General features: G+C 42.9%; 1 protein-coding gene across 68 annotated transcripts in view, besides 3 other annotated features; it reads right to left on the bottom strand.

The window, feature by feature from the left end:
- WDR20 (WD repeat domain 20) overlaps positions 1-27,468 on the bottom strand; it is an 85,417-nt gene that overhangs the window by 31,233 nt on the left and 26,716 nt on the right. For 8 of the 68 annotated variants that reach the window (NR_038354.2, NM_001353658.2, NM_001353667.2 and 5 more), the window contains exon 2: positions 93-144. The exons of 53 other annotated variants lie outside the window; for them this stretch is intronic. Coding sequence is in view for 8 of the 15 variants with exons in the window: in NM_001353658.2 (NP_001340587.1) it covers positions 93-144 (52 nt within the window). In the remaining 7 variants the exon portion in view is untranslated. Of the gene's footprint in view, positions 1-92; positions 145-2,235; positions 2,614-14,630; positions 15,233-22,096; positions 22,217-27,468 lie in introns of those variants that run through there. 7 more of the 68 variants (NM_001353681.2, XM_011537345.3, XM_047431928.1 and 4 more) reach the window with 4 other exon arrangements.
- Positions 8,264-8,763: an enhancer, noted in NCBI's record as "H3K4me1 hESC enhancer chr14:102651181-102651680 (GRCh37/hg19 assembly coordinates)". NCBI's record gives its function as "activates a minimal SCP1, AML or CMV promoter by ChIP-STARR-seq in naive and primed H9 embryonic stem cells {active_cell/tissue: H9 hESC(naive and primed)}" and the evidence as "EXISTENCE:reporter gene assay evidence [ECO:0000049][PMID:30033119]".
- Positions 8,764-9,265: an enhancer, noted in NCBI's record as "H3K4me1 hESC enhancer chr14:102650679-102651180 (GRCh37/hg19 assembly coordinates)". NCBI's record gives its function as "activates a minimal SCP1, AML or CMV promoter by ChIP-STARR-seq in naive H9 embryonic stem cells {active_cell/tissue: H9 hESC(naive)}" and the evidence as "EXISTENCE:reporter gene assay evidence [ECO:0000049][PMID:30033119]".
- Positions 20,794-21,779: an enhancer, noted in NCBI's record as "NANOG-H3K27ac hESC enhancer chr14:102638165-102639150 (GRCh37/hg19 assembly coordinates)". NCBI's record gives its function as "activates a minimal SCP1, AML or CMV promoter by ChIP-STARR-seq in naive H9 embryonic stem cells {active_cell/tissue: H9 hESC(naive)}" and the evidence as "EXISTENCE:reporter gene assay evidence [ECO:0000049][PMID:30033119]".

Here is a 27,468-nt window from a genome sequence, read left to right as displayed (position 1 = left end):
GAAGTCTGGACCTGAGCGGTAACAAGTAGTTCTGGGAGCCCCAGGGCAAAGGAATGAGGGTGCATGCCATGCGGACACTCTCCCAGCCTCACCTCAGTTAAAACGGAGATGAGAATCTCTGTTCTACCAACCTCATGGGATTGTCTGGAGGATGAAATAAGAGAATATATACATGAAAGAGCCTTGAAAAGTGTAATACAAAGCATGATACAAAACAAAAGGGAGTCCTGACTGGAGCGAGGAGAAAAGCGGCCAGTGGAGGGGAGCGGCCGCTGTACAGCAAGGCAGGCTGAAGGCAGCTCAGCCGAGTGCTGCGAGTGAGCAGCGGGGCCTGGGACGATGGCCACGGACAGGCTGTCTGAGGAAGGCAGCTTCTGAGCGGCTCGGATGGCAGGGAAAGAGAATCCTGGCCTGAGAGAACACCACATGCCATTCATCTCAGAACGAGGAAGACAGCCACAAAAAAAAAAACAAAAAAAAAACCTACAAATATAAAATAAGATATAACTGGCAGCTAGAGAACAAAAATCCAATTTGAAATACGAACAATTAAGTTATACATAATTACTGTATCAGCATATTCAACTCTTGAGACTTTTTTTTTTTTTAGTTTGCTTAAGAAAAATAAAAAATCAGCTAGGTGTGGTGGTGCATGCCTGTAGTCCCAGTTATTCAGGAGGCTGAGGTGGGAAGACTGCTTGAGCCCAGGAATTCAAGGTGACAGTTAACTAGGATTGCACCACTGCACTTCAGGCTAGATGACATAGCAAGACAAATGACAGCAACAACCACTTAGGGAACTTTCCCCTGAAAGAATATACCTAAAATTATGCGCTGAAATACACAGATCAATTTAAAGGCTGGCCAGAAATTAACAGAGAAAATAGCCTAATATAAATTAAAAAATACGTAATGTTTCTCAGAAACAACAGAGGAAGTAAAAGCACCTGTTTTTCCAAGTACTGCCACCAGTTTAGAGTTAGACTTAGGGACCCCTCACAACTATAATGGCTTCAGTTATTGGTATATTTTTACATCCCTGCCTCCCAATATGGAACTTTACTGAAAAGATGGAAGCATTTTAAATGAGAAGAGATTATTTTTACTCTTAAATCAGGTAAAATGGGCCAGAAGGCACGGTGGCTCACGCCTGTAATCCCAGCACTTTGGGAGGCTGAGGCGGGTGGATCACCTGAGGTCAGGAGTTTGAGACCAGCCTGACCAATATGATGAAACCCCATCTCTACTAAAACACAAAAATTAGCCGGGCGTGGTGGTGGGCACCTGTAGTCCCAGCTACTCGGGAGGCTGAGACAGGAGAATCGCTTGAACCTGGGAGGCGGAGCTTGCAGTGAGCCGAGATCGTGCCACTGCACTCCAGTATGGGTGACAGAGCGAGACTCTGTCTCAAAAAAAAAAAAAAAATTCAGGTAAATATTCTAAAAATATCCTGTTTATTCTACTAATTTGCTTAACAAACTTTCTTCTTAGGTCACTGCTCTTGAAGTGTACCAGTCCAGGACTAGTTTATTAGTCTGCAGTCAAATGCACTGCCTGTAGTACAGACATTGAGAATAAGAGTTTAGAAACTTTTATGGCAACGGACAAATTTTATATCTGTTGAATGTAATGATAAAAAGTTAGAGTTTATATTCTGTATGTCTTTTTCAGTTTCTTTTCCTATTAATTCTTTTTATTTTACAAAAGTATCAATCCACATAGACTAAAATTTTTTTAAAGTTGATCTGTCAACACTAGTGTGAGTGGCACTGTCTAGAAGACACAAAAGTAGACCTGGCTGACCCCAAGGAACACTTAGAATCTCTCTCACCTAAGGTCACTCCTCCCTCCCCAATCCCTTTCCAGTGGCACTGACCAAACGGGAACAGCAGAAGTCCAGCCAGGCAACATGTCACCTTTACCAAGTAAGAATTACCAAGAAGTCAGAAGTGACTGCTAGGTTATGTGCCCATAAAAAAAATTGTATTTCTGAAAAATCTATGGACTCCACTCTTGGGCCAGAGCTTTTTGGAGCCCCACCCCAGATAGAGAAAGGCCAGGTCACCCAGTGCCTGCCTTCATGTCCAAGCACAACCGTCTCCCACTCGCCTGTCCTCTTTCCATTAATCACTGAGTTCTAACTCAATTTCCACTGATAAGTGACCATCCTATTTCCTCCTCTTCTGGGGGGCGGGGGATGGGGTGTCTGCCAACATGCACTCTGAGCTCACATACCTTTTTAGGAGCAGGAGTAACCACCCAAGCCAGCTATTCCTCTTCCCCATGGGGTCATCAGCCCCTGGCAGATGGCTTCCCAGGCAGGGGCAGTCTGGTAGCGAGAGAAAGAGCCCAGACCAGGCAAGCCTAAGTTCAAATCCTGCCTTCCCTCTTGGTAGCCAAGTGGCCTTGGGCAAAGTGCAAGTTTCCTCTCACTAATAGGAGATCAAAGGCCCACCCCTCCCCTGCAAGGCAATGGTGAAGGCTGCAGATAACAGAAAGCACAGAGCACACAGAAGTATTTGGGTAGCTACCATTATTCATTAATTCCAGCCACATCTTATCTCTAATCAAAATGTCTCCTAATTTTTTTCTTTTTTTTTTTTTTTGAGATAGAGTCTCGCTCTGTTGCCAAGGCTACAGTGCACTGGCATGACTTCAGCTCACTGTAACCTCCACTTTCCAGGTTCAAGCAATTCTTGTGCCTCAGCCTCCTCAGCAGCTGGGATTACAGGCATGCACCAACATGCCCGGCTAATTTTTGTATTTTCAGTAGAGACAGGGTTTTACCATGTTGGCCATGCTGGTCTCGAACTCCTGACCTCAAGTGATCTGCCCGCCTCAGCCTCCCAAAGTGCTGGGATTACAGGCGTGAGCCACCACACCTGGCCTGTGGCCTCCTAATTTCTATCAAGTCAATGTAGGAAAAAGTACCTAGCACCCCTGCCCTCCAGGGTTCAGCCCCATCCTCCCCAACAGCAATATCACCTTCTGTCTAGTCAACACTTTTTTTTTTGAGACAGAATTTCCCTCTTGTTGCCCAGGCTGGAGTGCAATGGTGTGATCTTGGCTCACTGTAACCTCTGCCTCCCGGGTTCAAGTGTTTCTCTTGCCGTGGCCTCCTGAGTAGCTGGGATTAAAGGCGCCTGCCACCACACCTGGCTAATTTTTTGTTTTTTGTTTTTGTTTGTTTGTTTGTTTTTGGTATTTTTAGTAGAGACAGGGTTTCACCATGTTGGCCAGGCTGGTCTCAAACTCCTGACCTCAGGTGATCCACCTGCCTTGGCCTCCCAAAGTGCTGGGATTACAGGCGTGAGCCACTGCGCCTGGCCTAATCAACACTTCCTATGTGCCAGGCCTGCACCAGGAACTTTACAATCATCATCCAATCCAATCCTAGTCACCCCTCAAAGCTGGTACTAATGTATCCACATTACATTGATGAGGGACCTGGAAGGAAGTTCAGGGTCATGAGGCTGTGCTCTTATCAGCTCTACACCATCTTGCCTCTCCACCCTTCACTGGCCCTCCACACAACTCATAAGCAATGGCCAGAGCAGACAGCCCCTCTTTCTTGGCTTACGTCACCCTCTTGGTAGGGACAGTCTCCTTTGCCCACCTCCCCAGGAATCGTGCCCGTCAGTTCACGTCCCACCGCCCACAGCAAGGATTTTCCCAACCATTCTTTGTGCTGCTCCTGTATCTGAATTCTCAAGTACTTAATTCATTCCACAACATTTAATATTTAATCACTTATATGATTTCAGAATTGTTTTATGTCTGTTATAATCAATTAAAATAAAATTATAATAAAAACTCTTTTAAGGAGAACTTTATTAAACAGTTACCACTGTATAGTTCCACAAAATTAGTTTTTTTCAGCTTTCTGATAGATTCTACACACTGAGATTTCAAAAAATGGTTTGCATCCCAATTATTATCAATTACCTAAGTTCTTCACCGTAAGTTTTTTTCCACTCAGATTCTGACAGATAAACATGAATTTATAGAAGAACCAATTTATTAAACATTCTTATCCATTTTAAGAATCGGGTATTTGGTCTTCAGCCCCAGCAGAGGTATCCAGCCTGGCACAGAGGCTAAGTATTTGTAGAATACATTAAACCACAACTGTTTCTTAATTTTTTCTATGGAAAGTTTAAATTTTATCATTATGCTCATGAGTTTGCATAAGGAGTTACTGATTACAAATAATTTGACAGTCTCATCATACTTATTAAGTTCTCAACTTAATAGAAAAATTTTAAGTGATAGTTTTAAAATTCCTACTAAAGAAACAACTAGTTACCAAAGCCTCGATCAGTAAGTAAACATTTTTAAATGTAATACTTCTCTTTTCCTTGGACTTTTTCTTTTTCTTCATTACTATTATTATTATTGAGACAGGGTCTCGCTCTATTACCCAGGCTGGAGTGCAGTGGTGCGATCTGGGCTCACTGCGACCTCTGCCTCCCGGGTTCAAGTGATTCTCCTGCCTCAGCCCCCCGAGTAGCTGGGATTACAGGTACGTGCCACCACGCCCAGCTAATTTTTGTATTTTTTGTAGAGACGGGGTTTCAACCATGTTGACCAGGCTGGTCTCGAACTGACATCAAGTGATCTGCCTGCCTTGGCCTCCCAAAGTGGTGGGATTACAGGCATGAGCCATCATACCTGGCCTTCCTTAGACTTTTCATCCTTAAGATCTCTGGAATTTTTTTTTTTTTTTTTTTTTTTGAAACAGGGTCTCGCTCTGCTGCCCAGACTGGAGTACAGTGATGCAAATACAGCTCACTACAGCCTCAACTTCCTGGGCTCAACTGATTCTCCTGCCTCAGCCTCTCAAGTAGCTGGGACACAGATGCGTGCCACCATGCCCAACTAATTTTTTTTTTTTAATTTTCTGTAGAGACAGTGTCTTGCCATGTTGCCCAGGCTGGTATCAAACTCCTAGGCTCCAAGAACCCTCACATCTCAGCCTCCCAAAGTGCTGGGATTACAGATGTAAGTCACCATGCCTGGCTGGAATTTTTTTCTGGAACAATACTACTGAAATTCAGAGTCAGCTGGGTCAGTTTAGCATGGCACTAATGAGCCTATAGGTCCTTGAGGAATTTCTTTCCAGTACCACAAAGGGTCTGCAAAAGAAGCCCTCCAGTTCCAGTTCATGCCTTCACCATAGCCCTGCCTGCCCACTCTTCCCTCAGGAATGCTGCTGAGTGGACAGAAATGTGGAGGAAGGACTTGAACCCGAGAGGGGCTATTCCACCAAAGGCAAAAAGCTTGCAGCCTGGTTCCCACCAACTTAGTGGGCCTCAGTAGGGGGCTTTGGGAAGCCTGTGGCATCACAGGCAACAGCCATGTCACATCACATAGGCCTGGTAAAGTTTTACTTGATAAAACTCCTCAGTGCCCAGAAGCATCTGATGTGGTATGAAAAATATCTCAGAGCTCTTTTGAAAAATGTGTGTCAAATTATAATCTTAGACATAATTTTAAATGAATCAGGTGGAAATAGTGTAGGTAATAAAGGTAGTTTTATTTTCCCTAAATTTCACATCTTCCCTCCCCATCCCCACCTGAGAATCACCTAAGAGAGAACCGGTCTTGCAGAGTCTTGCCAGAAAAGTAAAAGATCCTTTTACTGGCATAGCTAACAGCTACCAAGTGCCTAATGCAGGCAGACCAGAAACTTACCTGGCCTACACCCAAAGCACTCTCTACCTCCTAAGTCCACTCCTCCCATCCTTAAGCCCCACCCCAACCAGCTTTATACTTGGCGCTCTGTTGGGTCCCCTGCCTGGCACCCCTGCCCAAAGGACAGCTTCAGGGCCCTCATCCAGCCTGGGTTTCCCCAGCTTAGCTCAGCCTCTCTAGCTCTGTGCCAGTCTCCTTCCACCCATTTCCAATCACATGCAATTCGCCCTACACTCTGCCAGACACATCTTCGGGAAGCCTTAGGTCACTCTCCCACTCCACCACTGCCACGGCTCTGCAGGGCCTACAGCTTAGCACTCACAGGCTGCCCAATGTGGCCTTATCACCCCCGCCCCTCCACATACATTACCCCAAAGACCCTTGGCTGCTGCCTGTGCTTCTGACACCTTGCCTTTCCTGCCATTCCTTCTTTCACCCAAAAAAAGTCCCCTATCCTCATATTCACAAAAGCAGAGATGTCATGTCCTCCTGAGCCCCCCCCCAGCCTATGTGTGACATTCTTCCAGACCCCTTCACCGATGCCTATCATTATGTGCCACACTTATTAGCTGCAATATGTTAACTATGTTCCATATATTGTGAAAGTCCAGCTCCTTTTAAAAACAAGAAAGAAGCCAGGAGGCTGCTGAGTCACTGACAGCCTGAATGAATTAATCAAAACTAGCTGGAGCAGTCTGAGTAACATCAAAGGTTGCCATAAGCCATTTTGAAAATCAGAAGAGAACGACTGTAGTGCTATTATCATTCCTCTTGACCACATCTCAGACAACCAAAACAGGGACCAAAAGTGGCCAAGAAATTACTTCCAAGGGCCACAAAGGATCACCTACTAGAAAAGAAGTGGAACGACTAGGGGCCTATCTTAAAACCTGAGATCCAAAATAAACCACACTGCAAAGACTGTTCCGCAGGTTTTCTTGGTGGAACTTTTTTTTTTTTCCTGAGACAGAGTCTCGTTCTGTCCCCCAGGCTGGAGTGCAGTGGCACGATCTCGGCTCACTGCAAGATCCACCTCCTGGGTTCACGCCATTCTCCTGCCTCAGCCTCCCGAGTAGCTGGGACTACAGGCGCCCCCCACCACCCCGGCTAATTTTTTTTATTTTTAATAGAGACGGGATTTCACCATGTTAGCCAGGGTGGTCTCCATCTCCTGACCTCGTGATCCGCCTGCCTCGGCCTCCCAAAGTGCTGGGATTACAGATGTGAGCCACTGCGCCCGGCCCTTGGTGGAACTTTTAACCTAGTCAGGCTTGGGGCTGCTAGTGCCTGTTAGGGATTGATTAGTCCACAGTCCAGGGCCTGGGGCTGGACCACATCTGCTTGTCACCCTGGTGAAACCGGAGGGGGGTGTTGTGGGGGGAGGCACTGAAGATGAAAAGAGACCTTGGCCAATCAGAGCTGATATTCACCTTTTGAACAAAGCTCAACTATGTAACCAAAATTTTCTTCAACATAATGGGAAATAACTGGGTGGGTCTAATGACAAAAATACCACACAGTGATTTTCAAACACCTTCAACTGCCCACACTTCATGTGTAGGCGAACAGTTTAACGCTCAAGTAACAATCAGCTGCACAGCACCACACAGATGCCAATTCCACAGTCCCACCGCTGCCCTTGAAGGGGCCACAAAACCAGGTTTACCTTATGGAAAGACCCACACAATCCATGTTTCTCACAGTATCTTCAATTCAGTAGTTACAGCCAACGTATCTGAACAGTTGGCATTAACAGTATGTAAAGAGCCTAACACTTGTTTAAAATATATGTATGTCAGAAACATAAGAAGTCAGTTAGGCTTGGGTCACTTATGCCCATAGGAAAAACAAACAGTAATCAATTGTACAGTTTCAGTGTTTCATTTCAAAAAGGACAAGAACTTATCTGTGTTATTTACCTCCCTGTCTCCAACATCTAATAGAGGGCCTGGCACACAGAAGGTTATCACTGAATATCTGTCACAGAAAGGAAACAATTCTGAAAATGGAGGAAAAGAACAGTGAAGTGATAGAAACCAAGAGACCTACAGCCAAATGTATATAAAAGCAAATATATAATGCTTTTTTTTTTTTTTTTGAGATGGAGTCTCGCTCTGTCGCCCAGCTGGACTGCAGTGGCGCAATCTCGATAATTCTTTTGCTGACCAAAATGCTAAGAATAAATGCCTTCTTGGGTGTCCATCCATGAAAGCAAACAGTCTCCATCAGTAAATATTAGTACATCACTTTACAGTTTACAAAGCACCTCCATGGATCAGTTTTTTGAAACCTCGCTACAAACCTGCGCAGTAAGTACAACTGCCACTCCCATTTTGTAAACAAGAAAATAGAATCAGCCGCCCAGAGGAACCCAGTGGTAGAGTCTGGCCATCGAAATTCCAGCCCGTGTGCCTTCTGCTGCACCGCCGTCTACTGCTGGGGTGATGCAACAGACATGTGAGGTGGCACCTAGTTCTACGATTCTATCACCATGTAACTCCATGTTCCTAGGCTTCTTGAAGTGGGACTCAAATATTCCAGCCTTTCTCAGTGTGGCCCAGATTCCAGATCTACCTCTTCTTTTCAATCATTTGCCTCACAGAATTATTTTATTAAAATGGAATAATATAAGTCCCAGCAGAATCCCTGGCACTTAAAAGGCACTCGGGAAACATTAGTTTCCTTCTGAATACATAAGGACTTGCTACTTATCATATGGGCTTTGAAAATTCTCATCATTCATTAATACCTTCAAAGAAACAGACATAAGGAAAAACAGAGATGTTTCTTTCTGCCCTAAATTTCCTGCAGAAGGACAGCAGCAGTGGAAGCCCACTTTCAGCAGGTTTTCCTTCCAGTATAATCTTCCAAAACAAAACAGTAGCTTCTCTTTCTTAGTTTCCATTCCTCCTTCATTCTCAAACATACTAGTACAGCCCACACTTGCTTGGCATTCCAAACCCATCCCCTTCACTAAAGACCAACCGTTGGTGCATTGTCTCTAGCGCGCTTCTGATGGGCTCTGACCTGGAATGAGCCCCGGCCAACCACGTTCAAGGGGCTGCGTTTAGCCGCAGCAAGGCTTTGAGAGGCGGCACAGAGAATTAGACAGAGGGGAGGCAGGCAAGACAATAAGTCAAACGTCAGCAAATAGCAAGATGTAAGACGTGTGGAACATCACCTTCATGTCATCCCAAAATGAGAAGAGACACACAGTCACAAAGTGCGTAACATGCGTTAAGTAAAAATTTCACAGTGACAATCTCTGGAATTGCTTGCTGCTCATCAGATGGCTTCTCCCAGGGGCCAGCAAAAGCCCCTCCTTTGGAGCTCTGCATCGGGTGGGGAGAGGGTGGCCACCAGGGGAAAGCAGGAACAAGCAGAGGGCGGACATTCTGTGGCAGCATCTTCCCTGGCCTAGCACCCTCAGTCAAGCATCTGCTGAAATAACAAGCTTCTGTTGTTCTCACATGTCACTTTTTCCTAAGGCAGCCTGTCATTTAGAAACTGCTAGCTATTACAATCTACTTCTCTTCCTTCAGAGTAGCTTCTTAAAGATGAACTTAAAAAACAGCTACACTGCAACATCTTTACCAGCTCTTCATTCTCTGATGCTGTACTCCACGGAAGGTTAGATCTCCTATCGCAAGGCAAGTCACCACAAATGGCTGTTGTGAGGCTTCCTTAGGCTAATGAAATACTGATTTCTTCATTAAAGAAAAGCTATGAATAAACATCAAGATAAATTCAATTTGCACACATACTAACACCAGATCTCATCACATTAAAATGCTGACATATTCAAATGACCTATTTTTATTGAACCCTTCTGTTAAATATGTATAGGAATACGTATTCCCATTCTAAAGGGAATACCAGTATCTCACACTGACGAAAAGGCAAGATGCATTCATTTCTGCAAAAGATGATTTCAAATTCTTAGAAAAAAATGTTTTTTAAAGATAGAATTCTATGCCTTTCTGAAAGTGTTGAGACAACACTGGTAAATTACAGAGCATTGTAGAGCAGAGAGTAATTCCTGTGTGCTGCCTAACTACTACACTGTTGTTGTTCTAACCTTTGGGCCATCCATGGGCTCATTATATTCAGCAGAGCACATAAATGATTTTAAATTTCCAATTCAAGTTGCTGAGTAACATAAGCAACAATCGGTAGAAGAGTTCCCATCCTAAGTGAAAACGGCCCTAAGTCCCCAGTTGTGCAGAGGGCCTACAAACTTCCATTTCCTCATCCTACAGAGAAACTGAGGCCCAGGAAGAGGTGGTGATCTGCCCAAGGTTCATAATGCTTACAACTTCACCTTTAACCATATCTAGCTGTTTCTCCCTTTTCAATCACCCAGCGTCAGCTAGAACAAGCTACTGAATCTGTAATGTCTAAAATTTCAATAAACAACACGTGTAGCAGTAATTGTATATCATATGACAGCATTTTGGACATAGTACACTGCTGTGTTTCAAACAGGAAGCAAAAGAGCTAGAGTGAGAGAACATTAAACATATCTTAAACATTAATGGAGATCAGCTACTAAAACAAGTGGCCAAAATGCTTGACTTGGCTTCTGTAATTCAAATAATCTCTGATCCAACCAGGCGTGAGCTGAAGAATACAGCCTCAAATCAATTTGGGTAACAGAGAGCTGATCTTCCAAATACTAGTGTGAGGAAAAGCTTTGATCTCGCCTTCATCGGAAGTTCAACAGCATTAGTTCATCACTGCAACTACTCACTTGGCACTTGTGCTGTTAGTCATTTGTCATATATGTCGAATATCCTCAAATAACCTAAAAAAAATGTTCATGGCACAACTTTCTTTTTTTTTCTCTCTCTCTGAGACGGAGAGCTCTGTTGCCCAGGCTGGAGTGCAGTAGCGCAATCTCGGCTCCCTGCAACCTCCACCTCCTGGGTTCATGTGATTACCCTGCCTCAGCCTCCCAAGTAGCTGAGATTACAGGTATGTACCACCTGTATATTACAGGTATGCACCACCTGTATATATATGTATTTTATGGAATAAAAAAAGTCTAATTCTGTTTGGGCCATATATTTATTTACATGTACATATTTGCAAAGAAAACAGTTTGAAAAGATATTCACCAAAATATTAAAAGTGTCTACCATTAAAAGAGGGGGTAATATTTAGATAATATTTTTTGCCTTTTTGTCAATAATCATATATTATATATAATTTTTTAATAGAAAAAAATAACCAAAAAAACTACTAAAACTATTTCAAAATTATTCTAGTAGTTTAAAAGCATGTCATTGCTTGGTATTAGGGTCACAGAAAAATCTGTGACTTGATGAACAGTAAAATTCACAATAAAAGGAAGCTTACTGTAACACTGAGCAAATGCATGAATGGGAATGATATATCATCAACAGATGATAATATATTCCAAACAGGCCAAATCATAAAGTTTCACACCAATTAAGACCACAGGAGTCTATTACTCATCTTTCTGTGGCATCAGTGACATCACTCAATGAGAGGAGAGAGGCCAGGAAAATTATTTAAAGAAGCCAACCATTCAGGCAACAGATGAGGAAGCCATGGCTAGTTCTTTTGTTTTACTCTTCAAATGGCATTCAGTGTTAGAACAGTTCACTGTGTGCTCTTAATTTGCTACAGTGGCAAATAAAGATAGCTTTCCCCAGAGTCCTCTTTGGGAAATCCAATCTGTTCCAAGTTTAGCTCCCTATTTTTTCTCTAATATATATTTATAATATGAATCCATATCTTTTTCATAAGAACTGAACTGAGAATTTATCACCAATTTTACAGTCTTCTAAAGATTCTAGGAAAACTGAATCCTACACTACCCTTAATCCAGAAGAAACAGCTAAAAGGGTTACACAGTGAAATTTGTTTTCAAGTATTCAGTAATATTTTTAGCATTTAGAAGTTAAAATCTTGAAACCTGAAATAAAAATATTACACTGAAAGGGAAAGGAGGTGTATTTGTAGTCTCAATAAGGGACAGTGCTGTATTTAAAATGTAGGTTAGCAGGCCAACCCACTTAGAACTGAATAGGAAGCTCCACACTGAAGGCTAAAATCAACCATAATCCAAAACTTAACGCTTGTCAACAATTCCACATATGCTATGGCTATGCTCTATGCTAAGCTTACCACTCATGATCTCGTATAATGCACTGCAGTCTCATATGACGTAATATATAGAATTAAAATTTTGCAACTACTAGCTTAAAAGTTAAATATAAAGCTATTCCCAAAGAAGTAGACTACAGAAGCAACTCATTTCCCAGTGTGAATAATTCTGTAATATATTTATAATATGGAAAAATCTTATGTAATCTAAGTCTTACATCAGGGGATCAGATAATAGATAAAGCTGGAGTGGCACTTTAAAAAGTCACCTCAGGTGAATGGTCATTAAAAAAAAAAAGTCACACTTGTTCTCAAGATGCTGCAACTCAGACCAAAGAAGTTAACTGCCTAAAATCATACAACCAATTAACACAGCAGCTCAACTCGGAGCTCTGATCTCATTCACTGTAAGTACACCATGCCCAGGAAACTAGGAAGAGCACTAAGGTAATCTAACCCAAAGCCCTCATTTCTCAGTCTCCTTCTCCTCTCACCTGTGGTCTTCTTGCTTCTACATCAGACAGTAACTACCAGACAGAACCTGAAATTATTCTATTATTTATAACACAGTGCCATGAACTACAGAAGACTTACCCAAACTCATTAAATTTAGGATAAACCAAATGACACTCATCTGGTTAAAGTTCATAAGTTATGTTCTGAATGCTGCCAGCCTTCTTCAGGAGACAGCAACTGTACTGGAAGACATGAGTTGCTTGCCTCTTGATAATTCAAAGCTTTCAAGCTGAATGTGTCCTGATGAACTAATGACAAAGACCACATCCACAGCTCTTTCCAAAGCTTTTGGCCACCTTCAGGAAAATCATCCCTTTGCCATGCAGCCAAATACTCACCAAAAAAACTCTAGTCAGCAAGGATGTATGCAAAATTCTGTATGCAAATACAAGGATGGCGGAAACAGGCAGCAATTTTAAACTAGGGTACAAAGATATGGAAAGCTAAGAAATGCAGGCCAGCCCCTCACATGGTTACGACAAAGGGTAAAGCTCCAAATAGCAGCAGGTCTCATAGACAGCAGCTGTGACTACAAACCAAAAGAGAATCTCTAAAGTGACACAGCAAGATCTGATCTCTCCTCCGTGTAGAGTACTACAACTAGATTTGTCTTTAAATATGAAGAGACCCAAAATAACACAACGTCCCCACTTTTCTTGTTGCCCACAGCAAGCCTGAGTACTTGCCCTGCTCTCACAAAATTCTTACAGAATTCTTCACCCCAAGCAGTAATCCCAGCTACTCCGGAGGCTAAGTCAGGAGAATCCCTTGAACCCAGGAGTTGCAATAAATAGTATGCTATTTTAAAAGTGTAAAGTGATATGTTATATAGAGAAAGCTCTGGTTGAAAACGTGCAAGACACTCTAAAGAGTGGTTAAGAGCAGAGACTCTGGAGCCAAGATGCCTTCAGGTTCTGTCTTGTGAGCTTGAACAAGCTATTTGCTTTTATATACCACCACTTCCACAAAATGGGAAAATGGGGTTAATACAACAGTGACCCTGCTACAGGCAGCGTTCGAGGATTAAAGGAGTTAAAATATGTAAAGTGATCAGAATCATACCTGGAACAAAGTAAGTGCTATGTAAGTACTGGCTGTTATTATTATTATTGTTTTGTTTTTGAGACAGTCTTGCTATGTCGCCCAGGCTGGAGTGCAGTCTCAGCTGACTGAAACCTCCATCTCCTGGGTTCAAGTGATTCTCCTGCCTCAGCCTCCCAACTAGCTGGGATTACAAGCGCCTGCCACCACGCCTGGTTAATTTTTGTATTTTTAGTAGAGACAGGGTTTCACCATGTTGGTCAGGCTGGTCTTGAACTCCTGACCTCAAGTGATCCGCCTGCCTCGGCCTCATAAAGTGCTGGGATTACAGGCGTGAGCCACCGTCCCGACGTAACTGTTATCATTATTAATAGTATCAATTTACATTTTTTAAATGCACTCAAACCAAGAACTACAGTGAGTTAGCGTGGAAATAAGTATTTGATTCCTTACAAAGCATTTAAAAAATAAAAGTTAATATTTAGCCACCTGTTGGAAAATGTATGTACAAATATGAGGGGAGGGATTTGAAAATGAAGGGGGTGAGGAAGGGCAAAGTTAAACCAGTAAAATTACTCTTTCCAATCAGTTAAGATTTTACTGTACTTGATGTAGCATAATTTTTTTAAGTTATAAATACAGACAGGGTGTGGTGGCTCATGTTTGTAATCTTAGCACTTTGGGAGGCTGAGATGGGAGGACTGCTTGGGGCCAGGAGTTCAAGACCAGCCTGGGCAACATAGTGAGACCCCATTTCTTTTTTCTTTCTTTTTTTTTTTTTTAGAAAAAAAAAAATACTTTAAAAAAAAGTTAGAAGTTCAGAGGTCAGAACTGTGTAGTATACCAATTTACACCTCAATGAAAGTTTAATTTCTGAGACAAAAATAGAGTAGCACATATGATGGCTCTACCTGTGAAAATACAGAGGTTAGAATATGATCTCAAAGGCCGCTTTTATAATACCTCCTAATTCTGACACATTGTAAATAAATGAATATTATTAAATAGAAAATAGTCTTTTTTTAAAAAGCTGAAAGGTTGCTGCTTATTGGGTGGGTTAAGTATATGAGGAGAGAAATCTAGAAATACAGGTATTACAACCATTTATTATAAAACCACATGACAGCCACACAGGCACACGCATTCTCTGGGAGCAAGAGTTTACATGAAAAGCGGGGTGGGGTGCTAGAAAGAACATAGGCTTTGGAGTCTGACAGGCCTTGCTGAAATCTCCGGCTGCCACTTACCAGCTGTGTAGCCTTGGCAAGTTACTACATCCCTCAGAGATTCCCCTCTCTCATCTCTATATAATATAAAGTGGGACGCGCCACTCCCTCTTCTGCAAAGTATCTGTGAGATCATAAGGGACAATGCATGTGACAGCACCTAGTTCAGTGCCTAGCCCAGTGTAGCTATTCAGTAAATGGGAGCTGTGATGAGATAGAAACAAATCAGCAGTGATTAGTATAGTCTACAAATTAAATAGTCAGTGAGCTGAGTTTTCGTTCGCTGTGAGGTAAACCAATACTAGATCCTATAAGGCAGTGGTTCTCAAACTAGCCCATCAGAATTACCTGGCATGCTAGTTACACCACAGATTGCTGAGCCTGCTCTCACAGTTCCTGATGCAGTGTTCAAGTGCAGGGGCCCAGAATCTTCATTGCCACAAGTTCTGAGGGGACGCTGATACTGCTGGGCAGGGACCACGCCTAAGAGAACCACTGGTGTAAGGGAAGAGAGGGAGAAGAGGTGCACAAACATGGTCCATTCCTACAAGGAACTCACTGAGGATCTGGAATACACACACGCCAAACAATTTTTTTTTTTTTTTTGAGACAGAGTCGCACTCTGTAGCCCAGGCTGGAGTGCAATGGCACGATCTTGGCTCACTGCAACCTCTGCCTCTGGGGTTCAAGCAATTCTCCTGCCTCAGCCTCCCAAGTAGCTGGGACTACAGGCTCATGCCACCACACCTGGCTGATTTTTATATTTTTGGTAGAGACGGGGTTTCACCATGTTAGCCAGACTAGTCTCGAACTCCTGACCTCAAGCGATCCACCCACCTCAGCCTCCCAAAGTGCTGGGATTACAGGCATGAGCCACTGCACCTAGCCACATAACAATTCAACCCCATATATACAGATCTCAAACTCCACCACCCTACAAAAGATACAAACTCATGTTATAAAAAATGAGGATGCCAAGGCACAGGGATCCTTCAGGACTGGTGAAACCATGACCCCAAGAGTTAAAGACACCAATGACTAACAGAAATTCTCAAGTTTGCAGGATTGCAGATAAGAAAAGAAACAACTTACTGACATGCCCTCCACTTGTAAGACAGAAAACATAACAGGCTAAAATTGGTTGGAATCAATATAGGTGACTGGAGTTTGTGTAGAACAAGCTTAAATTTCTACCACATGGTTCATACTAACTTCCCCCAAATTTGCACATGGGACCCATGAGGAGGCATGAATAGATAACTGCGGAAGCCTGAAGACTTTCCAGACCACCCCTTTCCTTATATCAATCACCTGCTACTCCCAGAATCCACTCCCTAAAGCTTTTCTAATAAAGTTACTGCCTTAAAGCCAGCACAGAGAGACAGATTTGAGCTGAACTCCTGACTCCTTGTGAGTCGACTTGCAATAAAAAGAAAGCCAATATCACGACACTGGGTTTTTGAGAAAATACTCAAAAACCCAGTGGCTCGATTCTCATCTGGCTATATTTCTCATAGCTAGTAGACTCCCTTCACTGGGTTTTGAGAAAACTTTCTCAAAAACCCAGTGTCACAGTACAGGCTTCTGGCACATTGGACAGCAAGCCCCTTTTGCCTAGTAACACTGGGACAAATACCGATGTTTTTCACAGTTCCTGCAGTCTCACAGCTTCTGTAAACGTAAGAAGTAAAATACTTGGGCAATGGCATTGGCAAGTAGAAATATGTGGGAAGGCACTTGAGAAAAGAGTGAGACAAATAGATAAACAAGTGTGTGAAAACAATGGTCTCAGCTCAGCTAGTTCAATATCTGAATGGGAGAATCTCATCAGGAGAAATGATGATAGAGAGATTTTGAAGAGGCACTGACAGGGTAACTTACTAGGCTTAGCTTGGATTTGATGTCATCAGTAAAGTGAACCATTACAAATCTCGGGCAAGTTAGCCACATGGTAGAAATGGTAACTGCAAGGTGGGGCACGGTGGCTTACGCCTGTAATCCCAGCACTTTGGGAGGCCAAGGCAGGCGGATCACCTGAGGTTGGGAGTGCAGGACCAGCCTGACCCAATCTCTACTAAAAAAAATAATAATAATACAAATAATTAGCCGGGCGTGATGGCAGGCGCCTCTAGTCCCAGCTACTCAGGAGGCTGAGGCAGGAGAATGAACCCGGGAGGCGGAGCTTGCAATAAGCCGAGATGGCGCCACTGCACTCCAGCCTGGGAGACAGAGCAAGACTCCGTTTCAAAAAAAAAAAATTGGCACCAATCCTACTGAAACTATTACAAAAGATAGAGAAAGAGGGAGTCCTCCCTAAATCATTCTATGAAGCCAGTATCACCCTAATACCCAAAACCAGAAAGAATATAACCAAAAAAAAAAAGGGAAAGAAAACTACAGACCAATATCCCTGACGAACGGAGATGTAAAAATCCTCAGCCGGGCACGAATTTTTGCGTTTTTAGTAGAGACGGGGTTTCACCATGTTAGCCAGGATAGTCTCGATTTCTTGACCTCATGATCCGCCCGCCTTGGCCTCCCAAAGTGCTGGGATTACAGGCGTGAGCCACCACGCCCGGCCCCACTTACACTTGATTTTTTTTGAGATGGAGTCTCGCTCTGTCGCCCAGGCTGGAGTACAGTGGCGCGATCTTGGCTCACTGCAACCTCTGCCTCCTGGGTTCAAGCGATTCTCCTGCTTCAGCCTCCCAGGTAGCTGGGACTACAGGTGCATGCCACCACGCCCGGCTAATTTTTTTGTATTTTTAGTAGAGATGGGGCTTCACCATGTCAGCCAGGATGTTCTCGATCTCCTGACCTCGTGATCTGCCCACCTCGGCCTCCCAAAGTGCTGAGATTACAGGCGTGAGCCACCGTTTCCAGCCCTGACTTTCACTTTTATTCAACATAGTTCTGGAAGTCCTAGCTAGAGCAATCAGACAAGAGAAAAGAAATAAAGGGCATCCAAATCAGTAAAGAGGAAGTCAAACTGCTGCTGTTTGCTGATGATATATAATCATATACCTAGAAAACCCTAAAGACTCATCCCAAAAGCTCCTAGATCTGATAAATGAATTCAGTAAAGTTTCTGGATACAAAATCAATGTACACAAGTTAGTGGCTCTGCTATATACCAACAGCGACCAAGCTGAGAATCAAATCAAGAACTTAACCCCTTTTACAATAACTGCAAAAAAATAAAATAAAATACTTAGGAATATATCTAACCATTGACATGAAAGACCTCTACAAGGAAAACTACAAGACACTGCTAAAAGAAATCACAGATGACACAAATGAAAACACATCCCATGCCATGGATGCGTAAAATCAGTATTGTGAAAATGACCTCACTGCCAAAAGCAATCTATAAATTCAATGCAATTCCCATCAAAATACCATCATCATTCTTCACCAAACTAGGAAAAACCATCCTAAAATTCATATGAAAACAAAAAAGAGCCCACATAGCCAAAGCAAGACAAAGCAAAAAAGAAAAAAATCTGGGGGCATCATATTACCTGGCTTCACACTATACTATATGGCTATAGTCACCAAAACAGCATAGTACTGGTATAAAAACAGATACACAGACCAACGGAACATAACAGAGAATCCAGAAATAAACCCAAATACTTACAGCCAACTGATCTTCAACAAAGCAAACAAAAACATAAAGTGGGGAAAAGACACCCTATTCAATGAATGGTGCTGGGATAATTGGTAAGCCACATGTAGAAGAATAAAATTGGATCCTCATCTCTCACCTTATACAAAAATCAACTCAAGATGAATCAAAGACTTAAATCTAACCTGAAACCATAAAAATTCTAGAAGATAATACCGGAAAAATCCTTCTAGGCATTGGCTTAGGCAAAGATTTCATGACCAAGAACCCAAAAGCAAATGCAACAAAAATAAATACATGGGACTTAATTAAATGAAAAAACTTCTGCACAGCAAAAGAAATAATCAGCAGAGTAAACAACCCACAGGGTTGCAGAGAAAATCTTCACAAACTGTGCATCCAGCAAAGGACTAATATCTAGAATCTATAAGAAACTAAAACAAATCAGCAAGAAAATAATTAATAATAATAATCCCATCAAAAAGTGGGCTAAGGACATGAATAGACAATTCTCAAAAGAAGATATACAAATTGACAGTAAACATATGAAAAAATGCTAAACATCACTAATTATCAGGGAAATGAAAATCAAAACCACAATATGATACAACCTTACTCCTGTAGCAATGGCCATAATTAAAAAACAAAAAATGCTGGGCATGGTGGCTCACGCCTGTAGTCCCAGCACTTTGGGAGGCTAAGGTGGGTGGATCATGAGGTCAGGAGATCGAGATCATCCTGGCTAATATGGTGAAACCCCGTCTCTACTAAAAATACAAAAAATTAGCCAGGCATGGTGGCGGGCGCCTGTAGTCCCAGCTACTCGGGAGGCTGAGACAGGAGAATCGCTTGAACCCAGGAGGTGGAGGTTGCAGTGAGCCGAGATTGTGCCATTGCACTCTAGCCTGGGTGACAGAGCAAGACTCTGTCTCAAAAAATAATAATAATAAATAAATAAAAATAACAGATGCTGGTGTGGATGTGGTGAAAAGCGAGCACTTTTACATGGCTGGTGGGAATGTAAACTAGTACAACCGCTATGGAAAACAGCATGGAGATTCCTTAAAGAACTAAAAGTAGATCTTCCATTTGATCCAGCAATCCCACCACAGGGTATCTACCCAGAGGAAAAGAAGTCATTACATGAAAAAGACACTTGCACATGCATATTTATAGCAGCAGAATTCACAATTGCAAAAATATGGAACCACCACAAATGCCCATCAATCAGGTGGATAAAGAAAATGTAACAATAATAATAATAATCATGGCATTCCAAGCAACCTGGATGAAGCTGGAGACCATTATTCTTTTTTTTTTTTTTTTGAGATGGAGTCTCACTCTGTTGCCCAGGCTGGAGTGCAATGGCGCGATCTCAGCTCACTGCAAGCTCCGCCTCCCGGGTTCACACCATTCTCCTGCCTCAGCCTCCCGAGTAGCTGAGACTACAGGCGCCCGCCACCACGCCCAGCTAATTTTTTGAATTTTTAGTAGAGATGGGGTTTCAGCATGTTAGCCAGGATGGTCTCGATCTCCTGACCTCATGATCTGCCCGCCTTGGCCTCCCAAAGTGCTGGGATTACAGGCGTGAATCACCTCGCCCGGCTAGTTATTCTAAGTGAAGTAACTCAGGAATGGAAAACCAAACATCATACGTTCTCACTTGTAAGTGGGAGCTAAGCTATGAGGATGCAAAAGCACAAGAATGATATAATGAACTTTGGGGACGCAGGGGGAAGGGTGGGAGGGGGATGAGGGATAAAAGACTACACATTGGGTACAGTGTACACCGCTCAGGTGATGGCTGCACCAAAATCTAGGAAATCACCACTGAAGAATTTATCCATGTAACCAAATACCTCCTGTTCCCCAAAAACCTATTGATAAAAATAATAATAATAATAATAATAATAATAATAATAATAATAATAATAATTTTAAAAAAAGAAAAAAACAGGCCGGGCGCGGTGGCACACACCTGTAATCCCAGCACTTTGGGAGGCCAAGGTGGGTGGATTGTCTGAGCTCAGGAGTTTGAGACCAGCCTGGGCAACATGGTGAGACCTCATCTCTACTAAAAATACAAAAAACTGGCCAGGCATGGTGGCACAAGCCTGTAGTTCCAACTGCTCGTGAGGCTGAGGCAGAAGAATCACTTGAACCCAGGAGGTGAAGGTTGCAGTGAGCTGAGATGGTACCACTGCACTCCAGCCTGCGCGACAGAATAAGGCTGCCTCCAAAAAAATAAAAATAAAAAATAAAAATAAAAAACAGGCCATCCCATCTAGGAAGTGAGGAGCGCCTCTTCCCGGCTGCCATCCCATCTAGGAAGTGAGGAGCGTCTCTGCCCGGCCGCCCATCGTCTGAGATGTGGGGAGTGCCTTTGCCCCGCCGCCCCGTCTGGGATGTGAGGAGCGCCTCTGCCCAGTCGCGACCCCGTCTGGGAGGTGAGGAGCGTCGCTGCCCAGCCGCCCCATCTGAGAAAGGAGGAGACCCTCCGCCTGGCAACCGCCCCGTCTGAGAAGTGAGGAGACCCTCCGCCCGGCAGCCGCCCCGTCTGAGAAGTGAGGAGCCCCTCCGCCCAGCAGCCACCCCGTCTGGGAAGTGAGGAGCGTCTCCGCCCGGCAGCCGCCCCGTCCGGGAGGGAGGTGGGGGTCAGCCCCCGCCAGGCCAGCCGCCCCGTCCGGGAGGGAGGTGGGGGGGTCAGCCCCCTGCCCGGCCAGCCGCCCCGTCCGGGAGGTGAGGGGCGCCTCTGCCAGGCCGCCCCTACTGGGAAGTGAGGAGCCCCTCTGCCCGGCCAGCCGCCCCGTCCGGGAGGGAGGTGGGGGGTCAGCCCCCCGCCCGGCCAGCCGCCCCGTCCGGGAGGTGAGGGGCGCCTCTGCCCGGCCGCCCCTACTGGGAAGTGAGGAGCCCCTCTGCCCGGCCACCACCCCGTCTGGGAGGTGTGCCCAACAGCTCATTGAGAACGGGCCATGATGACAATGGTGGTTTTGTGGAATAGAAAGCGGGGAAAGGTGGGGAAAAGATTGAGAAATCGGATGGTTGCTGTGTCTGTGTGGAAAGAAGCAGACATGGGAGACTTTTCATTTTGTTCTGTACTAAGAAAAATTCTTCTGCCTTGGGATCCTGTTGATCTGTGACCTTACCCCCCAACCCTGTGCTCTCTGAAACATGTGCTGTGTCCACTCAGGGTTAAATGGATTAAGGGTGGTGCAAGATGTGCTTTGTTAAACAGATGCTTGAAGGCAGCATGCTCGTTAAGAGTCATCACCACTCCCTAATCTCAAGTACCCAGGGACACAAACACTGCGGAAGGCCTCAGGGTCCTCTGCCTAGGAAAACCAGAGACCTTTGTTCACTTGTTTATCTGCTGACCTTCCCTCCACATATGACCCTGCCAAATCCCTCTCTGTGAGAAACACCCAAGAATGATCAATAAAAATAAAAATTAAAAAAAAAAAAGGAAAACAAACAAAAAAACAAAAATAAAAAACAGAAAAATCCCTATTTCGTTAGCATTATATAATGTACTAAACATATTCCTTAAATATAATGCATAATTACCTATTATTACTAATCTTATCAATCTTTACCAACTGAAAATTCTATAAAATTTGTTTTAACACAATACTCCCCAATAGGCTGTATTTCCACCGTTATTTTTAAGTCAACGAAAGATAAGATCTTTGGGAAGATACAGGCAACTATGTCTTAAACTGAAAAGTACACAGGGCATAGCTAACTGGTCTTACACCACTCACAGTTTAGCAGAAAACAGCTGACAAATTACTCTCCAGACAAGACATAAAAGATCAAGAAATCCTAAAATTGTTTTTTAAAACATGGGGTGAAATCTCACCTCACAATTTATACCAGAATAAATCTCAGCAGTATCAAAAAGAAATCATATGTAAGAAATGAAACCTCAGAGGTACAAGAAGAGGCCAACAGTGTGGCTCATGCCTGTAGTCCCAGCTACTCACCAGACTGAGGTGGGAGAATCCCTTGAGCCAAAGAGCTTGAGGTCACAATGAGCTATGATTATACTACTGTACTCCAGCTTGGGTAACAGAGCAAGACCCTGTCTCCTAAAAAAAAAAAAAAAAAAAAAAAAGAGAGAGGCCAGGCGCAGTGGCTTGCACCTGTAATTCCAGCACTTTGGGAGGCCAAGGCAGGCAGATCACAAGGTCAGGAGTTTGAGACCAGCCTGACCAACATGGTGAAACACCGTCACTACTAAAAATACAAAAATTAGCCAGGCATGGTGGCGCATGCCTGTAATCCCAGCTACTCAGGAGCCTGAGACAGAATTGCTGGGAGACAGAGGTTGCAGTGAGCTGAGATCGCGCCACTGCACTCTAGCCTGGGTGACAGAGCTAGACTCCATGTCAAAAAATAATAATAATTATTAAAACAAAAATGAAATTTCCCAAGGAGGAGGAAGAAGAAAAATAAAGGGAAAAAAAGCAAATTTCTATGTAGGAAAAAACTACCATGAGCAAAATCAGAAGACAACTGACAAATGGAACAAAATGTCTGTCCCTCAGATCACAGATTAAGGGCTAATTTATATAAAAAGCTGGGCATGGTGGTGCATGCCTATAGTCTCAGCTGCTCAGAGGCTGAGGTGGAACGATCGCAGACCAGCCTGGGCAACACAGTGAGATCCCATCTCTAAAAAAATTTAAAAATTAAAAATAAATAATCATAAAAGAGATCTCCTACCAACTTAATTTTTTTTTTTTTAAAGACCAGAATCCTAGTAGAAAAGCGGGTTCAGGACATGAACAACTCATAGAAAATACAGATGGCTCTTAAATATACAAAACAATGCTTAATTCATAGCACAAGAAACACCAGAAAACTCTAGTGTTATACCATCTTTCATCTGTCAAATTAGCAAAGATCAAAATAACAATACACTATGCCACAAGTAAAAATTGGTACAATTTTTAGAAGGCGATTTGACTATGTCTCTAAAATTACAAATGCACATATCCTTTTCACCCAGCAATTCCTCACAGGAATTTATTCCTCAGATATACTAGCAACAAGGCAAAATGATGTATGTACAAAGTGATTTATTGCAGTATAGCGTGTAAAGACTAGAAACATCAATGTCCATCAAAAGAAGAATTATGATAAATGTACACAATGGGATATTGTACAGGCATTAAAGATGCTTTTACACAATAATGTCTTTATTGACAAAGAACAATCTCCGAAGTATACAAATCAAAACAAGGTGTAAAACAGTGCAGATGCTAAAGTTTGCATTTTTATAAAGGAGGAAAACTATATCTGTAATTTTGTGTATTAAAACATTGGCTATCTCTGGAAATACATACAAGAACTTAATACTGGTTACTTCAGAGGAGGGGGACAGGGTGGCACTGGAGGGCAAAGTGTGAGAGACTTCATTGCATGCTCTTTGAATTTTGAACCATGTGAACGTATTACCTATTAAAAAATAAAATAGGCCTATGAGACGTCACAATACCTAATTCCCAATGCAGACTTTCTCACTAAGTTACTTGAGAAAGGCCGGGCGCGGTGGCTCACTCCTGTAATCCCAGCACTTTGGGAGGCCGAGTCGGGTGGATCACCTGAGGTCAAGAGTTCGAGACCAGCCTGGCCAACATGGTGAAACCCTGTCTCTACTAAAAATACAAAAATAAGCCGGGTGTAGTGGCAGGCGCCTGTAATCCCAGCTACTCGGGAGGCTGAGGCAGGAGGACCACTTGAACCCGGGAGGCAGAGCTTGCAGTGAGCATTACGCCATTGCACTCCAGCCTGGGAGACAAGAGTGAGACTTCACCTCAAAAAAAAAAGTTACTTGAGAATATCCACTATCCATTCATCCAATATTTATTGAATTCTATATGCTTCAGGCACCATTTTAGATCCTGGTATCTCACCAACAAAGACAGATAAAGCCCTCCTCTTGTAGATTTTAGGTGGGACTAGTCAGTAAGCAGGCAACAAAATGAACATCAGCAAGGAACATGAAGAACAATCAGTCAGGAAAGGGGAGTGGAACGACTGAGGTGGAAAGGTGATGGCAGTGCCTTTCTGGGCAGGGCTAAGAGAAAGCTTCTTTCACAGAACCACATTTGGGCAGAGACCTGAAGAAGTGAGGGAGCCAGCGCCATGGCCACTGGGGAGGGGATTCTAAGCAGAGGGGCTAAGGATTCTAAGCAGAGCGTGTACCATTGGCTCCACGGGTGGGACGGGGAGGGGTGCAGCTGCTCTTCATGGAATGCAATGGATGGAATAAATGAGGAGGAGGTGGCAGCAAATCACACTGGGGAATCGGGGAGGGGAAAAGCACTGTATCAAAAGCAATTCAGATCTTATTCTAAGCGCTATAGAAACACATTAGAAAGTTTTAAGCAGCGAAGAATATGATCTGACCTATACTGTTTAAACGATCACTCTGGCTGACATCAGGAGAACAGACTGTAAGAGGCAAGGATAGAGGTGGGCAGCCAGTTGGAGACCTCTGTAATAATCCAAGTGAGAGACGCTGCTTCCTTAAACTAGGGTGGTAGTGGTAGAAGCAGAAGTGTTCAGATTCTGGATATATTTAGAGGCAGAGTCAACAGGCTCTACTGAAAGGACTGGAAGTAGATCGTGAAAAAAAGAACTCACAGGTGACTCCAAAAATATTTAACCCAAACAACTTTTTACAATGATCTAATGGGCTCATTTTTTAAAAGTCACACCTTCATATAAAGTTCAACTACTCTAAAACAGGTTATGAACACCATCAAAAAAAAGCAATGCTCATCTACATACCAAACTGGGAAGCTGCAGCCATTTTAAAATTGAAAAAACACATACTTGGGTTCATTCTCTAACTACTGAGCACCTACACCGTGCCAGGCATAATACTCGGTACTAGGGACCTAAATTATGCTTAAAATATATAACTGAACACCAAAAAAAAAAGACTGACAGGTAAAAATACCAAATTACTAACAGCTGTGGGATATGGAGTTTTTTTCTTCCTTGAGTTTTCCAATTTTCTACAATAAACTACTCTATTTTTATCTTTGGGGGGAAAAATTTTTCCTTTTTACTGCTGCCAATTAAGAAAAAATTCCCACACAGCAAATTGATTTAGTGATTTGAATGATTAACAGGCTTGCCTTCTAAAAAAGCTCCTAAACTAGGCAGATTTCTCAGGTCTTTCTTTCATGCCTGTACCTGTTTGTTACCAGTGCTATGGTAAGATATGGGAGATGTATGGGAAGTGGGGGGAAGAGAGAAATACAGTAGAGAGAAATGAGGGGTACAAATAACCACCTGCTGTTCTTTAAATATATCATGTCACCAAACACAGATGAGAAAGATCAGGCGAACAACTGTTCATTGAAAATATTTAACCAAATACCTACTGCATACAATATGCTTACCATAGCAGTCTGCCCACTGTCAATAAGTAAATGACAAAGTCCCTTGTATATTTATCCATTCATTCAAATATTTATGAAGTACCTATAATGCATCAAAGGCACTGAGCTAGCATGCAGAATAGACAGGAGTTCAGCAATCAATCAGATAAAATCAGCCCTCAATAGTCTGCAATCTAGTTTGGTGGGTAGGGAGTAAAGAGACATTACATTTCAATTTCTTATTTAATTACTACCGTGGCATGCATTAGAGAGGCGACTTGGTAGACGGTAACAGGGAGACCGGATCTAGTCTGAAGGTCAGGGTAAAACGCTTGGACAAAATTACATATGAGCTAAGATTTCAAGGAGTAGGAGTTAAACAGATGAAGGGGCAGAGAGTGAGGAATAGAAGCACATTCCAGGCAAAGGAAACAGTATATTAAGAAGAATCTAGGCTGGGCACGGTGGCTCACAACTATTATCCCAGTGCTCTGGAGGCCAAGGCAGGAGGACAGCTTGAGGCCAGGAATTAGAGACCAGCCTGGGCAACATGGCGAGAGCTTGTCTCTAAAAAAATAAGAAAGAAAAAAATTAGCCGAGTGTGGCGGCACATGTCCACAGTCCTAGCTACTTGGAAGGCTAAGGCAGGAGGATAGCTTAAGCCCAAGGAGTTTGAGGTTACCGGTGGGCTATGACTGCAGCACTGCACTCCAGCCTGGAAGACAAAGCAAGACCCTGTGTCAAATAAATAAATAAATAAGAAGAAGAATCTATGTCAAAAAAGGTTAAGGTTTGTGAGAGGAATTAAAAGGAAGCCAGCAAGTCAGAAAGATATAATGAAGGGAAGAGTGACTGATAAGGTAGGCAAGGGGTAGTTTCATGCAGGGCTTGTACGCTGTGTTAGGAATTTAGTCTTTCATGCTAAAAGCAACAGGAACCACTGAAAGATTTTCAAGCCTGGGAGTGACAATCCGATTCACATTTTTAAAGATCACTGACTGCTCTCCAGAGAATAGATTAGAGGGAGCAACAGTGGACCAGGAGACCAGTCAGAGGCTGTACAGTGCCCAGGTGAGATGAGTGAGGGCAGTGAAAACAAAAGCAGATGTAGTCAAGATATATACTTCAGAGAGAAAATCAATAGGAATTAGTGATAGAGTGAAAGTAGGTGGAGGGAGTGAGGTAAAGGAAAAGACAGTCTCATGAGTGACAAGACAGTAAGGCATATAAAGACATTCCATGCAAATAGTAACCAAAATAAACTGTCCAATCCTCAAAACAAAATTAGGGCAAAAACAAATAGAGATAATGAAGAGTATAGTATACCAACACAAAGAACAATGCACAGACTAACAATTTTGAATTTAATATAAAGCAAAACTGGCAAAGAGAAACTGTCAAGTCCAGAATCACAATGAGATATTTATAACACATCTATCAGAAACTGATAAATAAGAGGGGCAGTCATAAAAATAGTAATGATATGGACATGTGAACAGTATTACAAACTTCATCAAACATGCATGCACAGATATATGTCACCTTCAGCCTAACAGATAAGGAATATACATCCTTTTAAAAAGATATGGAATGGTTTAACTAGGTTACAAAGAAAGACTCACCAAATCTCAAACAACCAATATCATAAAAACATATTCCATGACCACACAATGCAAATAAATTAATCAGTTAAAAAAAATTAAACAGCATAGAAACTTAAAAATGCTTGCTTAGGGGAGGCTGAGACGGGCAGATCGCTTGAGCTCAGGAGTTCGAGATCAGCTTGGGCAACGGCAAAACCCGGTCTCTGCCAGGCGTGGTGGTACACGCCTAT

Source organism: Homo sapiens, chromosome 14 (assembly GCF_000001405.40).
Source record: "Homo sapiens chromosome 14, GRCh38.p14 Primary Assembly".
NCBI lineage: Eukaryota > Metazoa > Chordata > Mammalia > Primates > Hominidae > Homo > Homo sapiens.
This window is presented reverse-complemented; position numbering and strand designations above follow the sequence as displayed.